At 33.5% G+C, this 23,246-nt stretch overlaps 1 protein-coding gene across 65 annotated transcripts in view; it reads right to left on the bottom strand.

The window, feature by feature from the left end:
- Positions 1-23,246, bottom strand: part of TBC1D5 (TBC1 domain family member 5) — a 585,470-nt gene that overhangs the window by 346,366 nt on the left and 215,858 nt on the right. For 48 of the 65 annotated variants that reach the window (XM_047449291.1, XM_047449286.1, XM_017007556.2 and 45 more), the window contains one exon: positions 4,947-5,078. In XM_047449291.1, the coding sequence (XP_047305247.1) occupies positions 4,947-5,043 (97 nt within the window). In that variant the 5' untranslated portion in view covers positions 5,044-5,078. Of the gene's footprint in view, positions 1-4,946; positions 5,079-15,366; positions 15,469-23,246 lie in introns of all 65 variants that reach the window. The other 17 variants (XM_047449296.1, XM_011534283.4, XM_047449301.1 and 14 more) reach the window with 2 other exon arrangements.

The following is a 23,246-nucleotide window of genomic DNA, read 5'->3' on the forward strand; positions in this document are numbered from 1 at the left end:
TCAAATATTTACTGAATGACAAAAAATGAACTTTAAAAGCTTAAGAAAAGCTGCTACTCCGATAGTTACTGGTTCTATCATATTTCATACAAAAAACAAACAATATTTGCTATATACCACGTTAGTAAGTTTAAGAAACCAGGTATCAAGAATACTATCTACACAAAATGTTCACTAAGAATTATGTGCATTAAACATGTGTATTAAATGTAAGCATATTACATATAGTCTATGCTCCCAAATTATGGCCACAAATTTCTTAGAAAAGTAATAATTTATTTCCTTAGCTTTCCCTTTGCCAAGTGATTACTGCTGTGCATTAACTCAATAATTCTTAATCATCATAACTTGACATTTATTTGCCAGAAAACTCTCTGCCCATTTGGTTTTATGCAAATTCTGAGATGGGTCATATTTAAAAGAAAACATGGAATAAGTGAATTTTAGGAGAAACTTCAAAGGAAGAGAGGTCAAAGAGAACAGAGGATAAAACAGGAGAGTATATTAACTTTTGAAACCCTAAAAGGAGAAAAATTCAAGTGCTAGAATTATCAGGGACAATAAAACAGAGTTCATACATTACAACTTAAGATAGGAAAGAGAAAGACAGATGGAGGAAAGAGGCATTAAGCAATTATTAATTAACATAAGTGGAGGTACTCAAACTGTGTTGTTTTATCAGTTTGAGTACCTCCACTTATGAGAACACATGGACACAGGAAGGGGAACATCACACTCTGGGGACTGTTGTGGGGTGGGGGGAGGGGGGAGGGGGGAGAGATAGCATTGGGAGATATACCTAATGCTAGATGACGAGTTAGTGGGTGCAGCGCACCAGCATAGCACATGTATACATATGTAACTAACCTGCACATTGTGCACATGTACCCTAAAACTTAAAGTATAATAATAATAAATTAAAAACAAAATAAAAATTAAAAAAAAGGATTATATATTGTTGAATGCTCTGAATGAATCAAAAATAATGTCAGAAAAATGGCATGTGTGAAGGCCCAGAGTTTAGAACTGGCTTAGCATATCTGAGCAAGACCAGACAGACAAGAAGACAGCCATGCACATCACAGTCAACAATCTGGATTTTATTGTTAATATAATGGGAAGTCACTAAAGAGTTGTAAGCCAGGGAAGAAAGTAAAAAGACTTTTTCATCTCTAAGATGACTCCAGCTAGTTAGCCCAGAGTAGGGTTTATAGTACTTCAGACACCATTTTTATACTTTAGCCAGATATCTAGATATCTTCAGCAGAAGAAACCCATCTTTTAATCAAATTTAAATCCACCTCTACTATATGGAAAACAACACTAAAGATCATGATAGGACAGCATCATCTTATTATATCGACATCAGTCAACTATTTTAAATTACCAATTTCTTCATTAATAAAGCCAGGACATACCTTCCTAATTCTAAAACATGTCATTGTAATGGAAAGAAAGGAATACTTGGGAAAAAAACAAAATTATAGGAAGCAAAACGGAGTTGGCAGGATTCTGAACATCTTGGATTTTTTTTAAGTTGCCAAATATTTTATGAATGACAATAGAAAGCAAGCTTTGAAACAGATAGTATATTAAAAGGCAAAGAAAGGTTAGGCAATTATTTAAATATATAAAAGCTATTAAGTAAGAAGGTGAATACTGTGACATACAAAATTTAAGGAGGTGAATTGATCAGGGGCTGATCCTTCATGAATGGTTTTGCACCATCCCCTTGGTGACAAGTGAGTTCTCAGTTCACTTGAGATCTAGTTGCTTAAGAGTCTGGGGCATCCCACCATCTCTCTTACTCCTGAGATATACCTCCTCCCCCTTTGCCTTTTGCCATGATTGGAAGCTTCCTAAGGCCCTCACCAGGAGCAGATACCTGTGTCATGCTTCCTGTACAGCCTGCAGAAGCATAAGCCAATTAAAGCAATTTTCTTTATAAATTGCCAGCCTCAGGTATTTCTTCACAGTGATGTAAAAACAGACTAACAAAGGATCCCCTACAGAAAAATTTCTCTCATCACTGATGACATTCCAATCTCTTATAAGCTTGTGAAAACGAGTGATTCCAACAATATTATTTAATTAATAGGTTTGCTATACCTGAATTTTGATATTGTTATCTTAAATTTAAAATAAAGTGATTACTTCTTCATTTTATTGGTCATTAAAGGTTAAGAGCAAATAATCATAAATAGTCTAACAAATATTTTTGCTTTTTTGTTTTTAACTAAATTACTAGTAACTTGTCAGTTATTAAACTTTGATCATAGATCTTGGAATTTTATGTGGTAATTAATGTAAACTAAACTGAACAGGGCACACAGAAAATGTCATATTTTCTATGCTGTTCTCTATTTGAAAAAACAATTAAAGCAGTTAAAAGTTTAATTCACATGGAAAATATCTCCTAAGACTTTGCATATATATCTGTATATATTTTTACTAATAGAACCTATGACAAGAAATGTTTTTAAAAATTACACATAACTTCTACACAGGCAAAGCACTAAAGTGCAGTGTTTAAATACTTAGAAAATGAGTCATCCAGTAGTAACAAATTCCCTAAAGATTATGGCAGAAATGTGTAAAAAGCTTCAAAATACTTGAAGAAAGCCCAGGTAAGACATATATTAAAATAAGCAAACATAATAGAAAGGTGATGATTTTCTTCAAATAATATGACAACCTCATTAAAATGCAACACATTTTCCTGTAAAAAGAAAATCAAAGAAGATGAAATAGATGCTTTATATAAAATATTTACCTATACAATGCACAAAGCCCACTATGGTTAGTAACCTTTATGGCTTTGAAGAACAAGATATTTACATATCTTTCTTTCTGCATGTGCATGTGCGTATGTGTGTTTTGTATATATTTTTAACAGTTGACAGCTGTTTTAGAGCATACAGAGATGCCAAGCTGAATGAGGGTCTTGATTACTTCAAGATTAGCTATCGAAAGTTTCTATTCATTTTAAGTGTTGTTAGTTGGAAGAGTCATTAGTCACTTCCTTGTCTCATAGAACATCAGCATACATTTACATTGTTAATGAACATTTGGGGTAAATGAATTAATGGCACTTTTAAACATCAATTCAGTCCTAATAACTTAGTATGTCATAGAAATGTTAGGCTAGGATATAAACGAAAAGCCTTTTTAGTAAAGGTAACTACTCATTCCTGTAAACAATAAAGGATAAAATTAATTTAAAATGTTATTTTAACCAGGTTAAAAAAAAAAACCTCAGTATTTAATGAAATAGACCATATAAAAATACGTGCTTAAAAAACAAACAGCAACCCCGTCTCTACTAAAAACACAAAAAAATTAGCCAGGCGAAGTGGCAGCCGCCTGTAGTCCCAGCTACTTGGGAGGCTGAGGCAGGAGAATGGCGTGAACCCGGGAGGCACAGCTTGCAGTGAGCCGAGATTGCGCCATTGCACTCCAGCCTGGGCTATGGAACAAGACTCCGTCTCAAAAAACAAACAAACAAACAACAACAACAAAAACTATGTCCTCAAATAACCATAGTAATCAGAAATAGTATGAAATATTTTGGTGAAACTATTTTATACACTTGTAACACAAAGACATTCACTTTTAAAACATCCACTTACAGAAGTACTTGCAAAATAATTTGATTTATTTAACTACGAATGCTTCTTATGAGTATTACATTTAAGAGAAAATATCACTAGAAAAGGTGTCATGCCTAGCACTGAGATATTAAAATAACTGAAATTGAAATGAACACTATTTTCATATTATCAAAATATTAAACATAAGTCTTGAGTTCTTATTTAACAAAAAATATAAAAATTTAAAAATTAAATCACAAAAATAAGCTGGACAAATTCTCTCCCATTTTTATTAAAAATAACAATGGCATTTGTATGTAGGAGGTATTAAAGATGCACAAAAAGCATAAAAATTCTGCATAAAATTTGTGTTCTAAAGAAATAGCCACTTTAGGTGGGGGTCAATTCTTTTTTTAAATTCTCAAAACATGAGTTAAAAGCAGACTTTGGCATCAGTATAAACAGAAAAAATCATTTTGTTTGAAGAAAATAACACACATGATTTACTATGACTAATTTTCCTTTTTATAACAGTTTGTCTGTATACTTTGACTAATTTATGTTTTAAAATAGATGTCACAATCTTGATACCTGCATTCCACAAGTGAAAAATTACAAGCAGCCACTGAGTCAATTAACTTTATCAAATATTTAGTGAACTGCTTAAAAACTAAGGATAAGGCTTCAAAAATTCTCACAAACTCAATTGCTTCTGTCTAAGAAACTATGTTATTACTATCATTAAGTAAATACTGAGAAAATAGTAGAGTTCTGATACATAAACATTTGATACATTTTTATAGGGTAGAACCTGAATACGGTCTACATTTTAACTGTCTACCACTTAATAATTTCAGTGTATAGATCTTTTAAAATATAACACAAATTTCAATTACTTTAAAAAAAAAAAGAGGATGAACAAATTTCAATTACTTTAAAAAAAAAAGAGGATGAATCAAGTCTTTTATCCTGGAATAATCTCAATCTGCTGAAAGGGGAAAAAAATCCCTGCAAAATCAACACCAAAAATTTAAGAATCTTTAAAAGATGTTCGACCAAGGCCCTTTCGCATTTCAACATTCTTATGCTGAAGTCATTGTTCAGTTTATTATTTTATTTTAAAGAACGACAGTGCGTTAAACATTTGGCTAATGCTTCCATGAATAACTGTGGCTTGTTGAAGTATTCATTAGTGTCAAGAGTGCTCTGTACATATCCAGAATAACATACTTAACACTGGCCTGCTCACTTCATCAAAATGTGTTCACACACATAAGGTGGACACAGCTAACTGAGGGCCCTCTGCTAGGTTTCCCAGTACACTACCTACAAATAGTATTGGCATACAAAACTCACCTCCAGACTTGTTAGAGTAACTGGACAAGGGGTCAATGCCTACTTCTTGTTCTTCTGGCTGCAGAGGATGTCTAGTTTCAGATAAGGAATGATACATTGTGGGAACTGGACAGCGTCACCAAAAGTAACTACCTGGGAGGTGAAAAAATACAGAGAAAAATAATAAATTCTTTTTCTGCTATGACTGGGAATAAATATAAGACTGAAATGATTACATGAGCATTACAGACATTAACAAGTTTTTCCCAGGCTCCAGGGACTGTTATCTCACATTGGTAGGCTTATGCAAAGAAGGGAAAAAGGTAACAAAATTTCCATTTCAAAAATTTCTCAAAAATCTGAGCATCATTTATAATCTTTATCTTAATTTTGAATCATATTTATTTTCAATAAATAAGCTAAATTCTAAATTAAAGACAATATTCTCACATTTATAGCATCCTTTTGTTTTACAGCCAAAATAATAAACATTCACAATAGAACTTTCAAAATACAGAAAATATAGCAAATTAAAATTATTCATGATAGTATTAGCTAGAAATATTAGTGTTAACATTTCAGTGTATTACACATGTACTTCCTGTCTTTATTCTGGGCATTTAAAATACATATGGTTTTAATGTGACCCATAACATGGTAAACATACTGATTATGTAATCTATGAATACTTTAAATTCAGTATTTTCCTCCCCAGTTTAAAGAAAAAAACAATTGTGTGTCTATAATTTCTAATTATTCCTAGCATTCTATTATATAGTCAGCACAATTTATGTAACCAATTCCTTATTTAGTAAACAACATGTTTTCAGTTGTTCAATACTACAAACAGTCTCAAAAATAAATTATCTTTTAGCAGTATGTCTGTATGATATCCATGATTATTTCCTTAGGATAAATTCTTAAAGTACAATAGCTGGATTAAAATATATATTAAAAAAATAAGATTTTAGCAAACTGTACTCTATAAAGGTTTGTACCTAATAGAACAATTCATTTCTCCTTGATTCTCATTAACAATGGATGTTTCCTCTTTGATTTTCTGAACCAACCTGATAGTCAAATTTTGTATTGTATTTGCTTGGTAACTACTGAGATACTGTTTCTCTGACATTTGTTTATTGTCTTTTGTTAATAGAGTTAATTGTTATGACTGTCTTCATGATATCTAAACATGCTTTAAGTATTAAGAGTATTAAACCTTGTTTATATGATACACATATTTTTCTCAAAGTGTATCTGTCTTTCAGTTGTATGACATTTTTGTGACATAGGTAACTTTTTACATGCTCAAATGTATCTGTATCTCCAGTATAATATCCACCTCTGGTGTTATACTTACAAGTTTTTATAAATAACTACCTACATTTCCTTTGGTCGTTTTGAAAGTTTTCCCTCTCAATTCTCACTTATATAAATTATTCCATATTGAATAAATTTTGTTTTAAATTATTTTCAACTTCCAACCTACACTATTTGTAAATTTTATATGTCCCTAAGATGCAAATTATCTTCTCAAATCATAACTCTTTCAAAACATAAACCAAGTTCACCAATTGTCATGCAAAATAATGTAAGTAACATAATCTTTTAAATTTCAGGAGCAGCAAGGACATGAGAAAAAGAGGAAATAAGAGAAAAAAGAAGTGGTAAAAGCAAGTCCAAACAAAATGAGTATCTAATTTTATAGGATATGGTCTTCACCTATGGAGGAAAAGCTCCAGAGATGTTCATGAATACATAAATTCTGGATGACCTTTTACCAAAACAAAATGCTCCTCTATCCTATTTACTTTCTCTGTAAAACCATCACCTAGTAAAATATTCATATACATGTTCTAATTTTTATCAGAAGTCTCCAAAACCCCCTACATCCACACAATCACAGTCAGACGTTAATAAAACCTATCCCCCTGGAATTGTGGCTAAAACAATATAAGCAGAGGATTAGGGAAAACAAAGAATTTGGTAGCTAACATGCAGTAAGAATATCTAAAGCCATAAATCTTAAATACATAAACCTAGACGGTTGTCAGTTATTTGCTTATGTGTGCCAATCAGTAAGCATATACTGAGCACTGCTGTATAGAAGAAACTCTGGAGAATATAATCTAGTAGAGGACAGCGAAATGTAGATGATCGGTTATAGTATAACACAGAGTTTGACAAATTCTGTTGGACAAATAAATAAATTCAGAACCAACGTCCTCTACTATGGAGCAGTCACCAAATTCAAATGTCTAATGAGATCAGGCAAAAAGTATTATTATTTATGGTTAACATTTATGCACAATGAATATATGCCAAAAACTAGTCTAAATGTTTCATGTACACTCATTTCATCCTCCTTAAAACCCAACTGATTTATCTTTGTCAATTTTATTTTCATTTTACCATAGAGAAACTGAGGTAGAGAGAGAGTAATTAATTTGTCTAGAATCACACAAGGAGTAAGTATTAAAGCCAAAATTGAAGCCATCCTGTCTGGTTCTAGAGCTCACATTCTTTCTCCTACATTAATTTGGCTCTAAATAAGTCAGTGCGACAAAAAGACCAGGTATAAAAAAAGGGGGTATAAAAAGATGCAGCCTATGAATAATTAGAACACCCTTTACTCTGCTTCAGCTTTTTCAAGACAAGCTAGAAATCAAAAATTTTATGTGAAATCTGCTAATTTGTAAGTGTTAGCAAATAATTCAAATTAAAAGAAAAATACTGAGTAGAACAGATTAAACACTTTTCAAAATTTTATTTGGCCCATGGGCAACTATCTTAATGTAAGATTTATATTCTTCATATATTTTGTTATACTCTTAAAAATATACAAGTAAACATTTGAAAATGTCTATTTCAAGTTAACTGCTAGATTCCTTAAATTTTCTTTAATATCTTAAACCATGTTTTCATAATCTCAGTAGCTGAATTTCTTATTTTTACAGTACACTTTCACTGTTACAGGTTTCACATACCTAAAATACATAAATAAATGACTTTTGTGTATTTTAAACTATATAAAAAATAGACAAGTAACAAGCAAGTTGCCATCAAAGTTTATTTTTAAAAGGAGTATTTTTTAAACCCTCATCTTTATGTTGTCAGAAGAAAATACTCTACCACACAATGATATTCATACGTTCATTTAAGGTGCTAAAAATACTTAAGGTCTTTTTGACTCCTTAGAGAAAGTTCAAGAAGTCATTTAGTTAATTTAGCTTAAATTATAATTCTTTAGAACTTAACAAGTCTATGATAATATCCAATAGCCAGAATACAAAATCAACCACATACCCCAGTCTACAACCATTCTATATAATCAAGCATCCATTATATCCTGATTTATTATGCCTATAGATTGAAAATGAACCACTGAAATGTTTTTATAATTAAATAAAGGAAACCAGCTAACTAGTAATAATGAGTTATTTTCAAGCAATCTGTTGAAGAAAACGTGTGGATAATGTTCATAGTTTTCTTTTAATTATGGATTTAAATAACCTAATTCAAAAGTAACTGATTAAGAAGTTGCTGCTTTCATTTTTTTTATCGTTTTGTTTTAAATATAAAGAGCTATTTTAGCTCTCTTGAATCTAAAAAAGCAACTTAAGTTTGTCGGTTACTGCTATTGGGATTACCTTATGAAATCATAACATAATGTTGTTTTTAAATATGAAATCATTTTCCTACGAATTTCCCAATTTGTGTTTCATAAACATTCCAGTAAGAGAAAATGATTGATTACAAAGCAGAATATCAAAGGTTTTTAATAAATTTGTCTATTTTAATATTTATGAATAAATTTTTACCTGCAAATATCAAACTATAAAAAATTAAGAGATTTTATTTAGTCTAAAAATTTTTAAACAATCACTGTAAAAGTCCAGCATAAACATAACACTTACAATGGTTCATTAGACCTCTAAATTTGATTCCAAACTCCAACTTCTATCCTTGATTTTCTATCCTTAATTTTCTCTTATATAGAACCAAGATACATACAGAGAAAAGAATATAAAGGCCAAAAACATGCCTCTTAGTAGATGACTACTTAAATCCATAATTGATAGATTTTAGTTCTCTTCAATGGTATCTTCCTGTTCCTAGAATTTCTCTGGCTCATAAAAATGATGCCTGAAGAATTATTTTAAATAAAAGCAATCTCATTTTTCTGACTGAGAAAGCATAGTAATACACCTTCCACGATCTGGGAAAGGCCCTATCCTTCCTTTGTTACACTTACTGTAAATAACAATTTCTCCTATTCACATGAGTTTAAAATTCCAAAAAGTCGTAACTAATTTTACAATACGGTTTTAGTGCTATCCTGGGCACAGGAGTTCACAAATATGCTAAAATTCCCATTTAAAATGCAAGACTAATCTTTAAGATATTTGTACTGGTTTCACAAGTCTAGAGGCTGGAGTATTAAATCTTAAAAGTGATCTGTCTGAAAGAAAAGACTTCTTCTGCAAATAGTTAATTTTTAATAAAAGGGTAAGCGTTCAGCACTAAAGCTTAGAAGGCAGTTTTAAACTACACTTAAAAAATCAAAGCAATATTTTCCATGTAAAAAAAATCAATACAGGCCGGGCATGGTGGCTTATGTCTATAATCCCAGCACTTTGGGAGGCAGAGGCGGGCAGATCACGAGGTCAGGAGTTAGAGACCACCCCGGCCAATATGGTGAAACTCCATCTCAACTAAAAATACAAAAATTAGCTAGGCATGGTGATGCGTGCCTGTAGTCCCAGCTACTTGGGAGGCTGAGGCAGAAGAATTGTTGGAACCCGGGAGGCAGAGGTTGCAGTGAGCCAAGATCGTGCCACTGCACTCCAGCCTGGGCGACAGAGCAAGACTCCATCTCAAAAAAAAAAAAAATCAATCAATCAATATGAGCAGTATCTAAGTGAAAATCTCAAACTATGAGCATTGAACAGATAAAATAATAAGTTAGTTTAATAATATTTTCTCTTTTAAAATGGCACCACATGAGCAGAACCTCTAGAAATGAATTTATTCTGTCTGAATACAAAATTCTATATATTTCAGCTTATATTCTCTCCTTAACTGTTTCTAATACTTAGGCACAGAATCAGCATTCTGAACTGTGTCATTCTAAAAACATTCATATTCAGAAAAGCTCATATAAGCATACTTCATTCATTTAAATTCTTGACTGATGGTAAACCTAAAAGTCAAACACTGAAATGATATAGTATTACTTTACATAAAGATTTCTCCTATAAGAAAAGCACACCAAAGAGCTTAAATGGACTACTTTCAGAGTCGATTATAAAAGGAAGAAGGATGCAGCGTGAATAAGTATGTGTTCTAGGTAGCATGTATTTACCATGATAGGTATTTAACCAGAAATATGACATATGGGGTATAAAAGCAAGCTTCTCTGGTAGAAGCTACGTTTTCACAATTAAGAGATAGCGCAATTGAATATCTGGTTTAAAAAAACATTTTTTATTTAGAAATGTTGGTAGCTAAAGGTAAATTCAATGATTGGAAGTAACAATGTTCTAAAGTCTTAATTACAAGGGCAGAAAGGAGGAAAGAAGAAAGGAAAAAAGAAAAAAGAGGGAAAGAAAACAAAGAAAGACAAAGAGTAAAGTTTTATTTTTAAATTCTGTCGATCTTTAATGCAAGAGGGTTACATTGGACTTTAAGTTAATTAAGTATTAAAATCAATCATCTGAAAGTCTTAATATTTAATATTGTTAGATTGTATATCAAAGTAGTTTTATTATTTATTTACTCCAAACCTTTCCAGAATACTTCATTTGACAACAGGGGGTCTGTTTCTCACAAGATAAGTGCATTTACAGTGCCAAATAAATTATATATAAAAGCATTTGTCTTAATACATGTCATTCAATATTAAATATCACCCCTTGGTAAAACCCTGAAACTTTAATTCATTTTTAGCAACCACACAATTTTACTATCCAAGTGTTGTCTAACAAACAGGTATAAGACTACAATAAGGGTCAACATATAAGAACAATGATCAAAAGAAAATCAAAACAGACTGAATCCTTATAATTTTCATGCTATCAGAATAAGCTGTTTAGGGCAAACAATTCACTGTAAATTAAAATACTAGACTCATAAACAATATACCTACTGAGAAATATGCAGAATATGAGAGGTTCACAGGTGGACTTAAATATTTTATATTACAAACTAAGAATGTATTTTGCCTTTCAATATTAAAATGCTATAAAGTCATGAGAAAGTGACACTTGTGACCACATAAACCAAGAGAAAACTGAGCACTATAAAAGTCAAACTGCCAAACAGAAAGCTCTCCACAGTGTATTCTCATACAGTTTCAGAGGTCTCCTGAGCAGATGCTCAAGATGCAGAGACTGGGGAATTAGCTTGGCCTAGTGAGCAAAACCAAACCTTTTATTATGATGTAGCCATATAAAAATACTTTCAATTCTTGCTGTTCCTCTTTTATATATTTATATATTATTTATATATCCTATTTTATATAGATATTACCTCTAGCCATTAAATGATTCAACCTGGTTTTCATAAAATCAAGGTTAATACAACATACAATTAGGAATTTAGGAAAAATAAAATTTGAAAAGAGAAAACAGAAATCATAATTTGGCGAATTATATTAAACTGATGATAATTAAAAATAAGAAAAAGGAACAAATGGCTACTCTTCATACAAACATCAAATCAAATCATTTTGTCCAAAAAAACCAATGAACAAAAATCTCTCCTTGGTGCAAACATGGGGAGGCCAGGGGTATGTTCAGGAACACCTGACCAATTGTGGGGCAATCCTTCTAAAAGTCCATATGAATCTGTTATTTATCCCTTGGTTTTTATTAAGTAGTAGGGCTGGGAAACCTAAGGACGTTTTAGTACTTCCTTTAGTTGAAAGATAGCCTTTTCAATTAAATAATAACAACAGCAGCAAACACATAGCACTTATTGGGAAGCAAAGCTATTTAAACCACTATACATATTAACTTATTTAAACCTTACAACAATTCTATGAAGTAGATACTATAACACCTTTTACAGATAAGGAAACCACAAAGAAGTTATGTGACTTATGTAAGGTCACAGGGCAAAGCTACCTCAAATGACAACAATCACTTAATAAGTGGCCTAACAAAAATTAAGCCAAGAATTATAGGGTAGTTTCCTTTGTTATGTTAACTATAACGTAATACCAAAGAATTCAGTTTACTTTTCTCGCATGCAAGCTGTTTCGAAATCTGAGATATTGAGATAAACAGATCCTTAATAGTTATAAGGTGTACACATCTTGTACAGATCACCATCTCAGAGTAAATGCATTATCTAGTAAGGAAAGCAAGTAATAAGTAAGCTGTGGATACAGCATAATTCACATATTCCTCAGCAAAATTATAATTTATGAAAAAATCACACTTGATCTTTGGAATCGTTATCAAATAGCCAAAACTGTAGTTGGGGATTTTAAATCATTATTTAAGTCCCCAAATGCTACAGATTCACATTGCACCAGTCACTTCAGTACCTCACTGAGGGAAGGCCAGCAGCTAAGAAGCACCAGTCCTTGCTAGCCAAAGTAGCTTACATAAAAACATTTCCACATTCCTCCATTCAGTTTTATGCATCTCTTTTCCTCCTGAGGAGGCCTTTCCTCTTCACTTTTCTAAATCCTGTACATAATTCCAACATTCAACTTTTCCTTTAGGGACCAGCACCAGAAGTAATTTCTCCCTGCTCTTCCATAGCAGTATTTCCCTTGCTCTGATGTGCCTCTGGGCTTGGCAAAAACATACTTTTTTATTAGAATAAGTTTTTTTTAATGGTTCCCCTCTATTTATAGCAAGTGCTAATTTGTTTAGGATAATCTGTGGCCAAAAGATTTCCTATTTACATAAATTTATTTAAAGAAAGAAAGAATTCATGAAAGGAAAAATATTAAATAAATTATAATAAAGTAGTAGGCATAGTTAAAATCCTTAAGGTGTTATATAATAAATGATTAATGTTTTGAAAATAATGTTACAGCAGAAATTGTCATTCACCAACCTTATTAAGCAATCCTTGATACATCACTTCTATTGTTTATATAAACTATTATCCTTATCATAAGTAGTTATTAGCTTATCATACATTTTTGTAAATGCAAACTATGTATTCCTTGAGGGCAGAGAAAGTATTTTTCATTCCTTTGTACCCCCATAATATGCAGATATTATCCAATAGGAATAAAACCTATTCATTAATTCATCAAAAACAGACAACACAATTATAAATGTGGTTCATGCTACTGGTAAACTAAACATCGCTCTGGGAAATGCTTACTTATCTCCTCTTTAAGAGGTCCTAAATTCAGGCTAATGCCTAACGGAGTCCACTCTCCCTTCTCCCTCAACATGCTCTGGCTACCTAAGTCTTCTTTCTATTCCTTAAAAAAAAATACAGCTCATTGTCTCTTTAGGTCTTCGCACATCCCCATCTCCTCTTCTGGGAACACTCTGCTCTTCATATCATTCAGGTTATCTGCCCAAATTCAACCAGCACAGAAATGTTTTCCTGGAATATATCTAATCCACTGGCAAATCTTGTCTGTTCTACCCTCAAAATAAAATCCAGAATCAAAACCATTCTTTACAAACAACCACCTTGATCTAGGTCACACTCATTAGACCCAGAAAAAGGAAACAGTCATCTTTAACTTTGCCCTCTGCCTAGAAACCCTCACCTTTCTTGCTGTAGGCAACATGAAATCTGTGTATTTTACTCAACTTCTGAACTACGCTTTTTTAGCAAGACCATCCACTTATAGGAAAAAGAAGCCACTTGTTGTGTTGAGCTGGAACTAAAAGGTTAGTTCATAAACACACTCGTATGGTGGGTGAGAACTGTCATAAGTCCTTGTGTTTCATTTAAAAGTTTTAACTTCAGGAAATTTCTGAGAAGCAAGTAAACGTTATTGTTACACAATATGCAAGCTTTACAAAGTTAACCATCCATAAATAAATAATAAAAGAACCACATACAGGTCAATGATGAGAATGTGTCATAAGGCAATGATTATGATTAATCAAATTAATAATATTCATGAAAAAAGTTAACCACTGGAATTTCCAACTATCCTTCCATACATTACAAAAAAATAGTTTTTTGATTATAAAAGCAGAGTTTGAAAGTATTTCAGAATAACATCTGGTTTATATTTGACATAAAGTAGACACTATCTTGTGGCTAAACTTTTAAGTCAATTTTATTAAAAATACATACATACAAATACAAACATGATATACTATATAACTAACTGCATTTACTCCTATTTTGAAAGATGTTTTTACTTTTATTTCAGTTATCTATCTTCTCTTCAGAAGACATTAAATTTTAGATAAAAGATGACACTATGGAAAAAAAATTATATGTATTTCTAAATTTCATATAATACCTATCTCATGACTGTTACAAGGATGAAATAAAGTATATGGGGACATATATCGAAAGCTGCAGTGTACTATGGTTCACTGTTGTCACTCCTGGCAATAATAATAAACATTAAAAATTCTTCATAAGACAGCAGATGCATTACTTGTTACATATTTTTAAGGTTATACTGATCTCAGCTAAATAAAAACAGTAGAGTAGGAACAGACTAGAAGAGGGAAGAAGTGATAGGGACCGGGGGCAGAGAAATTCTAAGCAGAAAAGGGTGGGTCCCCGACAAAACCCCACCTTCAAGCCGAAATGCCTGAAACCCACAGCCCAAAGTTAGAACTTCTATCCCTGTTTTCCCACTCGAATGTTGCCTTTTCCTAAACTACCCATGGCCCACCCTGCCCCTTCATCCTGTGCCTATAATATAGGACACCCAGGACTCAGCCAGCACAGAGAAGGAAGTAGCTGATGCAGAGGACTACGACTGAACATGGGAGAGAAGTGGCTTGACTTGAAAGGGACAGCTTTACAGAGGGACAGCTTGCATAACTTTGGAGAATAATCCAGCTGGAGATGGCCAGATTTCAGGGGAAGAAGATTACCTACCCACCCCATCTCCTTTCCAGCTCCCCTTCCCACTGAGAGCCACTTTCATCAGCAATAAAATCCCCCGCATTTACCATCCTTCAATTCATTCTTGCAACCTCATTTTTCCTGGATGCTGGACAAGAGCTCGGGAGCCACAAGTGCAGATACAAAAGGCTGTCACACTGATTCTTTGCCCTTCCTGGCAGAGGGCAGCTGCCTCAGCAAAAAGGCAGAAAGCCCACTGAGCTGTTAACACTTAAGCCGTCTGCAAAGGGCAGAGCTAAAAGAACAATGTAACATGCCCTCTGGGGCTTTAGAGGTCACAGGAAGCCCCACCTAGACACTGCTATGGGGCCCGAAGTTTGCTCCTACTGGAGCCCAAAAGTGCTTGCTCTGGCTCCCGCACCTGCTCACCTGCGCGCTCCCTCCCGTGAGGGGTGGAAGGCAGACAGCCCATTCCAGCACTTGTGCACTCCAGTTTCCACCTCGTTTGCTCGCAGGCTCCCTCCTGCAAGGAGTTGAGAGCAGAGGGCTGTGTAAATGAGGCACTCCTGTCATGAGTCCCATGAAGAAGTCAAGCAAATATCCTGCTTCAGAAAGAGCATTCTTGGGGGAGAAAACATTGTATACCAGGGCTCAGGGAAGAGGCAGTGCATGCACATTTCATGTAAAGTGTGTAAGGAGTCAAGCTCAGCTGGGTTGATTTTCAGGCTTAAGAAGCAGAAAAGGACTGTAAAACACATGGCTTATAGACCTTCTCAAGATTCAGAGCTTTTTCCTAATGTCAATGGAAACTACTTTTAAGTAAAGGAGGGCACCATCTCCTACTAATTCTCCATATTTAAATTTTCTTCAACTATACCAAATTACACACCTCAGCACTTCCACACATGTGGCTCCTCTGCAAGGCACTACTGTTCTTACCTTCTTCGCCTTACCAACTGCTACTGGCCCTTAAGATACAGCTCAAAAGTCACTCTTCCCCAACATGCCTTCTCCTAATTTGATTCAGATGCCCACTTACCTTATGCATAACTCCACCCTAATATTAACCATTCTTTAGTATAATGGTTGGTTTTCGACTAACTTCTATTGTGAGGATAGGGGACCTGTTTTACTCATCTATACTCTAAGTTACTAGCACCCCAGAACTTGCAAAAATCATTTATTCAATGAATCAACAAAAACAAAGACATGCTTCAGTATAATTCCCAGATATGAGGACTAATTGAGCTATACTTGTTCTACACAGAAGCACACAAATTGAAATGATTTAAGAGAACCTGTAGTATGTCGTAGGAATAGATATGGATTATACTATTTGAGATAAAAGATCTGAGTTTTCCATCTTATTATTTTTTTAAACTATGCCATAAATAAGACCTAAAACAGTCACTTAACAAATATATACTGAGCACCTACTATAGCCAACACAGCACTGATCCTCATATCAAATGCAAACTCAATAGGCAGTGAGCTTAATATTATATACTACTTGGTGAAAATTACCACCATGATACTACATGTTACAATGACATTGAAATGTAGTATTTACTTTCAACCACAACTTTGGACATTCTCAAATCACGTAACAAACTACATTACTTAGAATGTTTTCTTTTCCACAAAACCAAAATCCTTTTTGAAATGTCAGCCTTGAACATCATAAAATTATACAGAATGATGAGGAAACAGGCTTATAGTGCATATAAATACGAAAGCCTATTAGCCTGCATTTAATTACCAGTTCAAACAACAACCTGATCTAACCTTTGACAAGTAAAATAAATGTTCTGAATAATTTAACTAAAGCAAACATTTGCTGTTAATGCTAGCTAATTATAGTAAGAGCTGGAAAGATAAGAGGAAGAGAAATGACGAAGAGAAAGGAAGAGAAAGGGAGATGAAATTTTTAAATTAAGGTTAAGATCTGCAATTATTCATTGAAACATGATTTTTTTCAATGAATTTATTCACAGAAAAGGGCAAACTCAGTAGAAGAAAGTTTCTTTATAAATACTCAGATAAAGAAACATTTCAGTTTATTAGCTTATTTTTTCAGTCAGTAAAAAATTATCCATCTACCATGGGAACAGGAAAACAAGTTATAGAATTAGGGTACAATCAATCTCCTTCTCTCAAGGGGCCCAAAATTTAGTTAAGAAAAAGTCCAGGAAATGGGTTGCCAAATAAATAAATATAAGTAAATAATGAAATAAAATACAGATGCCCAATTAAATTTAAATTTCAGAAAAACAACAAACATAATATTTAAGACACTTATACTAAAAAGTATTCATTATTTATTGAAAATCAAATTTAACAAGGAGTTCTGTATTTTATCTGACAACCCTACCAGTAGACAGACAAGGAGACACTGTAGGAGCTCCAGGATTAAAAGAGATCTCAAAGGACAAGACCCCAAAAGAACTCATCCAAAGGCAGGAAAGACATGTTTTTGCCAGAGCTGCCATCTGATTGTTACTGGAAAAAACTAAAATGTGTGATTCAAATGTACTGACCCAGCTCCACAGAATCTTGTTTTTCAATTACCCTGAAAAAAGGAGCTACAAAGAAATATAATAGACAAATGAACAAACTTCTTAGTGGAAACCATCAGCTACCATATGGCAGAAAAATCAAATATTCTGACAAGAATACAAGAGCTGCTGAGTAGAAACAGAGTATAAGACTATTCTTAAACAGTTCTGAGACTACAGCTGACCCTTGAACAACATGGGTTTGAACTGCACCGGTCCATGTGGATTTTCTTCTGCATGTACCTCTCCTGAGACAATAAGACCAAAACCTCTCCCCTTCCACCTCCTCCTCAGCCTACTCAATGTGAAGCCAACAAGGGTAACTTCCGCTAAATGAATAGTAAATATATTTTCTCTTCCTTAGGATATTCTTAATAACATTTCCTTTTCTCTAACTTTATTGTAAGAATACAGTATAGTACATATAACATACAAAATATGTGTTAATCAACTGTTTATGTCATTGGTAAGGCTTCTGGTCAACAGTAGGCTATCAGTAGTCAAAGCATTTGGGAAGTCAAAAGTTACATATGGATTTTTGACTGCATAGGGGTCAGTATCCCTAACTCCCATGTTGCTCAAGGATCAGCTGTATTATCTTTACCAGTGAAGAACGTAAGTGCATAATTTGGGGGGGGAAATCCAAAGAAAATGTGAACTTTGTTAATTTGTTGAGACTAATATAAAATATTATGTTAACTCTTTCATTCATGAATTAACATAGTATTTGAACTCTTGTATTAATGTTAATAATTATACATGATACAGCACAAGAATCTAAGGTATGATCATCAAAATTTATGGGACCATAAATTTTTAAAACATTAAATAATGCAAAATGTGAAAATATGTTGTAGTCCATATTAAAATGGCCAATTTAATTGATTAGTAGCTTCAAAAATGATGAGCTTACTTGCTGATGGAGTAGAAACTTCTATTAACTTGGATACATGAGCCAAAAAGTCTCAGTATAAATATGCAAATGTTCCAATTGTAGTAGAAGACTATCATCATTTACAGAGGCAAGAAAAATTCCAATTTCCCAAACATAACATATAAATATATATAGACTTTATAAAAGAGATAGTAAAAAATGATAGTCACTTAAAATATTAAAATATTATTAAATAATAAACTTGAGTATCATTGCAAAGTGATCTGACTTGGGGGTTTCTCTCAGAATCCACGTTGACTGTAATGGTTCCATTTTTTTCATAAAAGAGATTTGTACACATGTAAACTTCTGTCCATATGTGTTCTAACACCAAAACTGTTTAGGTTGCCCATGTAAGAAAACTGACATATATTAAAATGTCATTATAAGCCCTCAAAATGGGAATAAACTATTTCAATTTCATTTGCATAAGAGGGAAAGACTAAAGCACTGAGAAGGTGAAAAAAAGGATACAGGAGAGGAGCTAATTATAAAAGAACACAATACATAGTGCTCACATAATATCTTGAAGTCAGAAAACATAAAGGGTCTATGGTGATTGTCAAAGAATGTTTCAAGACTTCAATGAATACTAAAAAACAAAACAATTCTATAAACTCTACATAGAACAGATACAGGCCAGAAAGGGTACATGAAAAGAATTAACAAAACTGAATAAACTGGGACTACAGAGGAGCTACACAAACCCTATCCCAACTCCCAGGGAATTTTACTAGCAAAAATATACACCTCCTTTTCCAATGTATACAATTAGGTAAAAGAATGTAGCATACTATCTCCAAAATTTCATTGAGTACCGTAATAGAATGTCTAAAATCTAAGTACATTAGAGTTCTATAATTCTTGCTATCCTAATTTACATGAAATCATTGCATAAATAATTTTTAGAATTTTGAAATCTATGTGTAAACTTCAGTAAACAATCGAAAGTAAATGACAAAACTTCATACCATGCTTTGTCATCTGTGGAACGATGATGCAGTTCAATTATATTTATTGAACAAATTAGCATCATTTGTCTTTCTCTGTGCTAAGAACTGTTTGGAGTAGTGATGATTGCTAATATTTCACTTAATGCTTACTAAATGCTAGACACTGTGTTTTATGTGTATTATCCCATTTAATCTTCTCAGCAATCCTATCAGACAGGAATCATTATTACCCCCATTTTACATAGGTGGCAATTGAGTCTAGCAAGTTAACGATTTCATCTCAAGGTCGCACACTAAGTGGCTGGAAATTGAAGTGAACCTTCTTCAGAAACTCATTTTAAGATATCCTACTGCTTTCTCACTATGTACAATGGCATGGGGAAAGGAACATCAGGAAATAGAGATGAGAAGAGAAGAAACATCTCCTGGGAGGTAGAACACAAAGAAAATGCAGACCACATAATGAAAACTAGAATGTTACAGCAAAGAAGATGTATTAAAAGGAGCTCTAACTCTGAAAGGTCAAGGGGTAAATACAGGGGTCTCAAAAGACTTTATGGAGAAGGGAATATCTAGGACAGGCTTTGAAGAAATAGTATTTCAACAGGCAGAGATGGACAGAGAAAGTTGACCAGAGGTCAACTCAAAAAAGATTGTTCTGAAGCCAGCAAAATGGACAATAAAATAGTAAATACCTACGTTTGCAACAGAGAAAGCTGCACTGAGAAAAAGCAGCTGCAAAACAGACATATAAAATTATATCGTATGAAATGCAAATTATTAACAATAAAGCTTTACATTTAAATAGCAGTTTGCAGTTTACAAAAATTTTCACATATATCATGCATTCTCAATGGCAGTGATATTGTCTCCTAGTGGACAAGATTGGTGCACAGAGTGGGTGTAGGGAATCATAGATACTACAATAGTTTATGGTCCTCAAATGGAATATAGTACATAAAGAGAAACATAGTTTATCTGTGTATATTTGTGTTATTAAACTTTCACAGTGGAGGATGACTGGGAGAAGTTTTTCTTTAAAGACTTTTTAGGGGTGCAATGATTTTTTAAAAGGTTCAGAAACACTGACAAATACTACATTATTTGATCATCCCAACCATCTAATAAGTAAGCAGGTATCATTTCCTTTTGTAAAAAGCATGAAACAAATAATACAGGAAGATTTAAAGAGATGAACGAAGGAGAAAAACAAGCAGTGCACGGAACGGAATTTTATACATATACACAGCCAATAACATAAAATAATGTGCAGCCTCACTCACAGTTAAAGAAATATCAACTAAAACAATTAGATGTAATTTTTCACCTATCAGAATGCAAAATAAAAAAGGTAGATAATACCCAGTCTTGGTAAGAATTTGAAGAAATAGGCATTTTGATGCTAATGAACTTGATTTAAAAAGTGCAAGTTTAGGAAGGCAATAACTATCAAAATTACTAATGCATCTAACTTTTGAATCAACAATTCTACCACTAAAAATGTATCCTACTTATATATCCTCTAGCCAAATCTATGCAGAAAGAAGTTGATTGTAATAGTGAAAAACCATAAGCAATCTAAATGTTCTATAATCCTTGGGTTTATAAATTATGGTAATCAGGCAAGGCCCAGTGACTCACAGCTGTAATCCTTGTTCTATGTAACATACATGGACAGAAGTTTATATGTGCACAAATCCTTGGAAGGCCAAGCCTGGGAGATCACCTGAGGTAAGGAGTTCAAGACCAGCCTGGTCAACATGGTGAAGCCCCATCTCTACTAAAAATACAAAAAAAAAATTAGCCAGATATAGTGACAGGAGCCTGTAATCCCAGCTACTCAGGAGGCTGAGGCAGGAGAATCGCTTGAGCCTGGGAGGCAGAGGTTGCAGTGAGCCGAGATTGCTCCATCGCACTACAGCCTGAGTGACAAGACAAACTCCATCTCAATAAACAAATAAATACATACATACATAAAGGTAATCTAGAAATAGAATAATAGGTAGGAATTTAAAATGCTCTGATGTAAAAAAAAAAAAATATGTACACAGCATACTGAAATCAACAATGCTACCTGTATGACCCCATTATTTTATAAAAATATACAAATGTAATTTTGCTGTGTGTTAAAATTTCTGGACACACAAGAAACCAACAAAGCATGAGGAGGAATTCTCCAACTGTATACATAAATGTACACTTTAAAAAACAGGACATGAGGATTTTTTTTTTGAGACAGAGTTTCACTCTTGTTGCCCAGGCTGGAGTGCAATGACGCGATCTCGGCTCACTGCAACCTCCGACCCCAAGGTTCAAGCAATTCTCCTGCCTCAGCCTCCCAAGTAGCTGGGATTACAGGCACCCGCCACCATACCCAGCTAATTTTTTTTATTTTTAGTAGAGATGGGGTTTCCCCATGTTGGCCAGCCTGATCTTGAACTCCTGATGTCAGGTGATCTACCTGCCTCGGCCTCCCAAAGTGCTGGGATTACAGGTGTGAGCCACCACACCCGGCCAGGGATGTATCTTTTAAAAATATTTAATTATAAAAATGTTAAAATGACTTGCTCCAGTTCCTACAATTGTGAAGCAAAATTATGAATACAATTCCATTCTTTTGGCTCAAAATCCATTGTTTCTTATTACATTACTTTATAAAGCTTACTACTGTTCAGAAAAAATCCATATTGGTGATTAAATATGGTAATAATGTCTATGGTTCCATAATACTTACTGAAGCATAAATGCCCCTGTAGGTTCTCAAAATGTCTTTCACGATCTACCCACACCTGTGTTCCCAATCCTCCCTTCCACGTCTTTTTAGTTTCTAAAAAGCGTCTAGTGTTTTCCTACCTCTCTGTTTTCTTGAATAACAAGTCTTGGTCAAGAAATCCTCTCCCAACCAATTCCTCTTCCTAAAACACTTTACTTCTTTTTTAAATTGATCTATTCTCATGACCTGGCATATAATAATAAATATTGCTGAATGAGTGAAAATATATCCGTCGGAACAGATTCTACTAATCACTTTGTAAAGTTAATCTCAAATGCTTCATTCTCTCTGAAATGCTTCCTAACTTCTTTTCATTCAGTTTTAGAATGTTAAATTCAGAAATTAAGTCATATTTCTGCTTGTAATGGGGAAAAGTAAACAAAACAGGAGGTTTCTTTCTTCCAAGAGAATAAAAGGGGAGGAATACCCTTGAGAAGAGAAAAACCCTAGAATATACCAGCAACCATTAATTCTTTCCATCACCATGCTTATTTCTATAAAAGAAAACTTCCAGAATCAATTTATTCATTTATTTATTTATTTTTTAAGAGACAGGGAATCTCCCTGTTGCATACACTGGAATGCAGCGGTGCATTCATAGCTCACTGCACTCTCCAACTCCTAGACTCAAGTAATCCTCCAGCCTTAGTCTCCCAAGTAGCTGGGACTACAGATGAGTGCCACCAGGCTCGGTTAATTTCTTTTTATTTTATGTAGAGACCAGGTCTCCCTATTTTGCCCAGGCTGATCTCAAACTCCTGGCCTCAAACAATCCTCCCAACATGAGCCACAACGCTTGGCCCAGAATCTACTACTATTGACACTGGTGATTTAGTCAACATTATCTAGGCTTAAATTGAGGAACTGTCCTCACCATCTGAGATTAGACAAATTAGCTAAACTGTGTCTCAGTTTCCTCACACGTAAAATGGTGAATACTCAATTCACAGGTTTTGTGAAGATTATATGAATATCCCTGAAGTATTCAGAATATCTGACATATACATAGTAAGCATTCAATAAATATTAGCTTTAATTGTTATCACCATTACCAGCACACTGTCACTACTCTAGTGAATATATTTA

This window comes from Homo sapiens, chromosome 3, assembly GCF_000001405.40.
Source record: "Homo sapiens chromosome 3, GRCh38.p14 Primary Assembly".
Classification (NCBI taxonomy): Eukaryota; Metazoa; Chordata; class Mammalia; order Primates; family Hominidae; genus Homo; species Homo sapiens.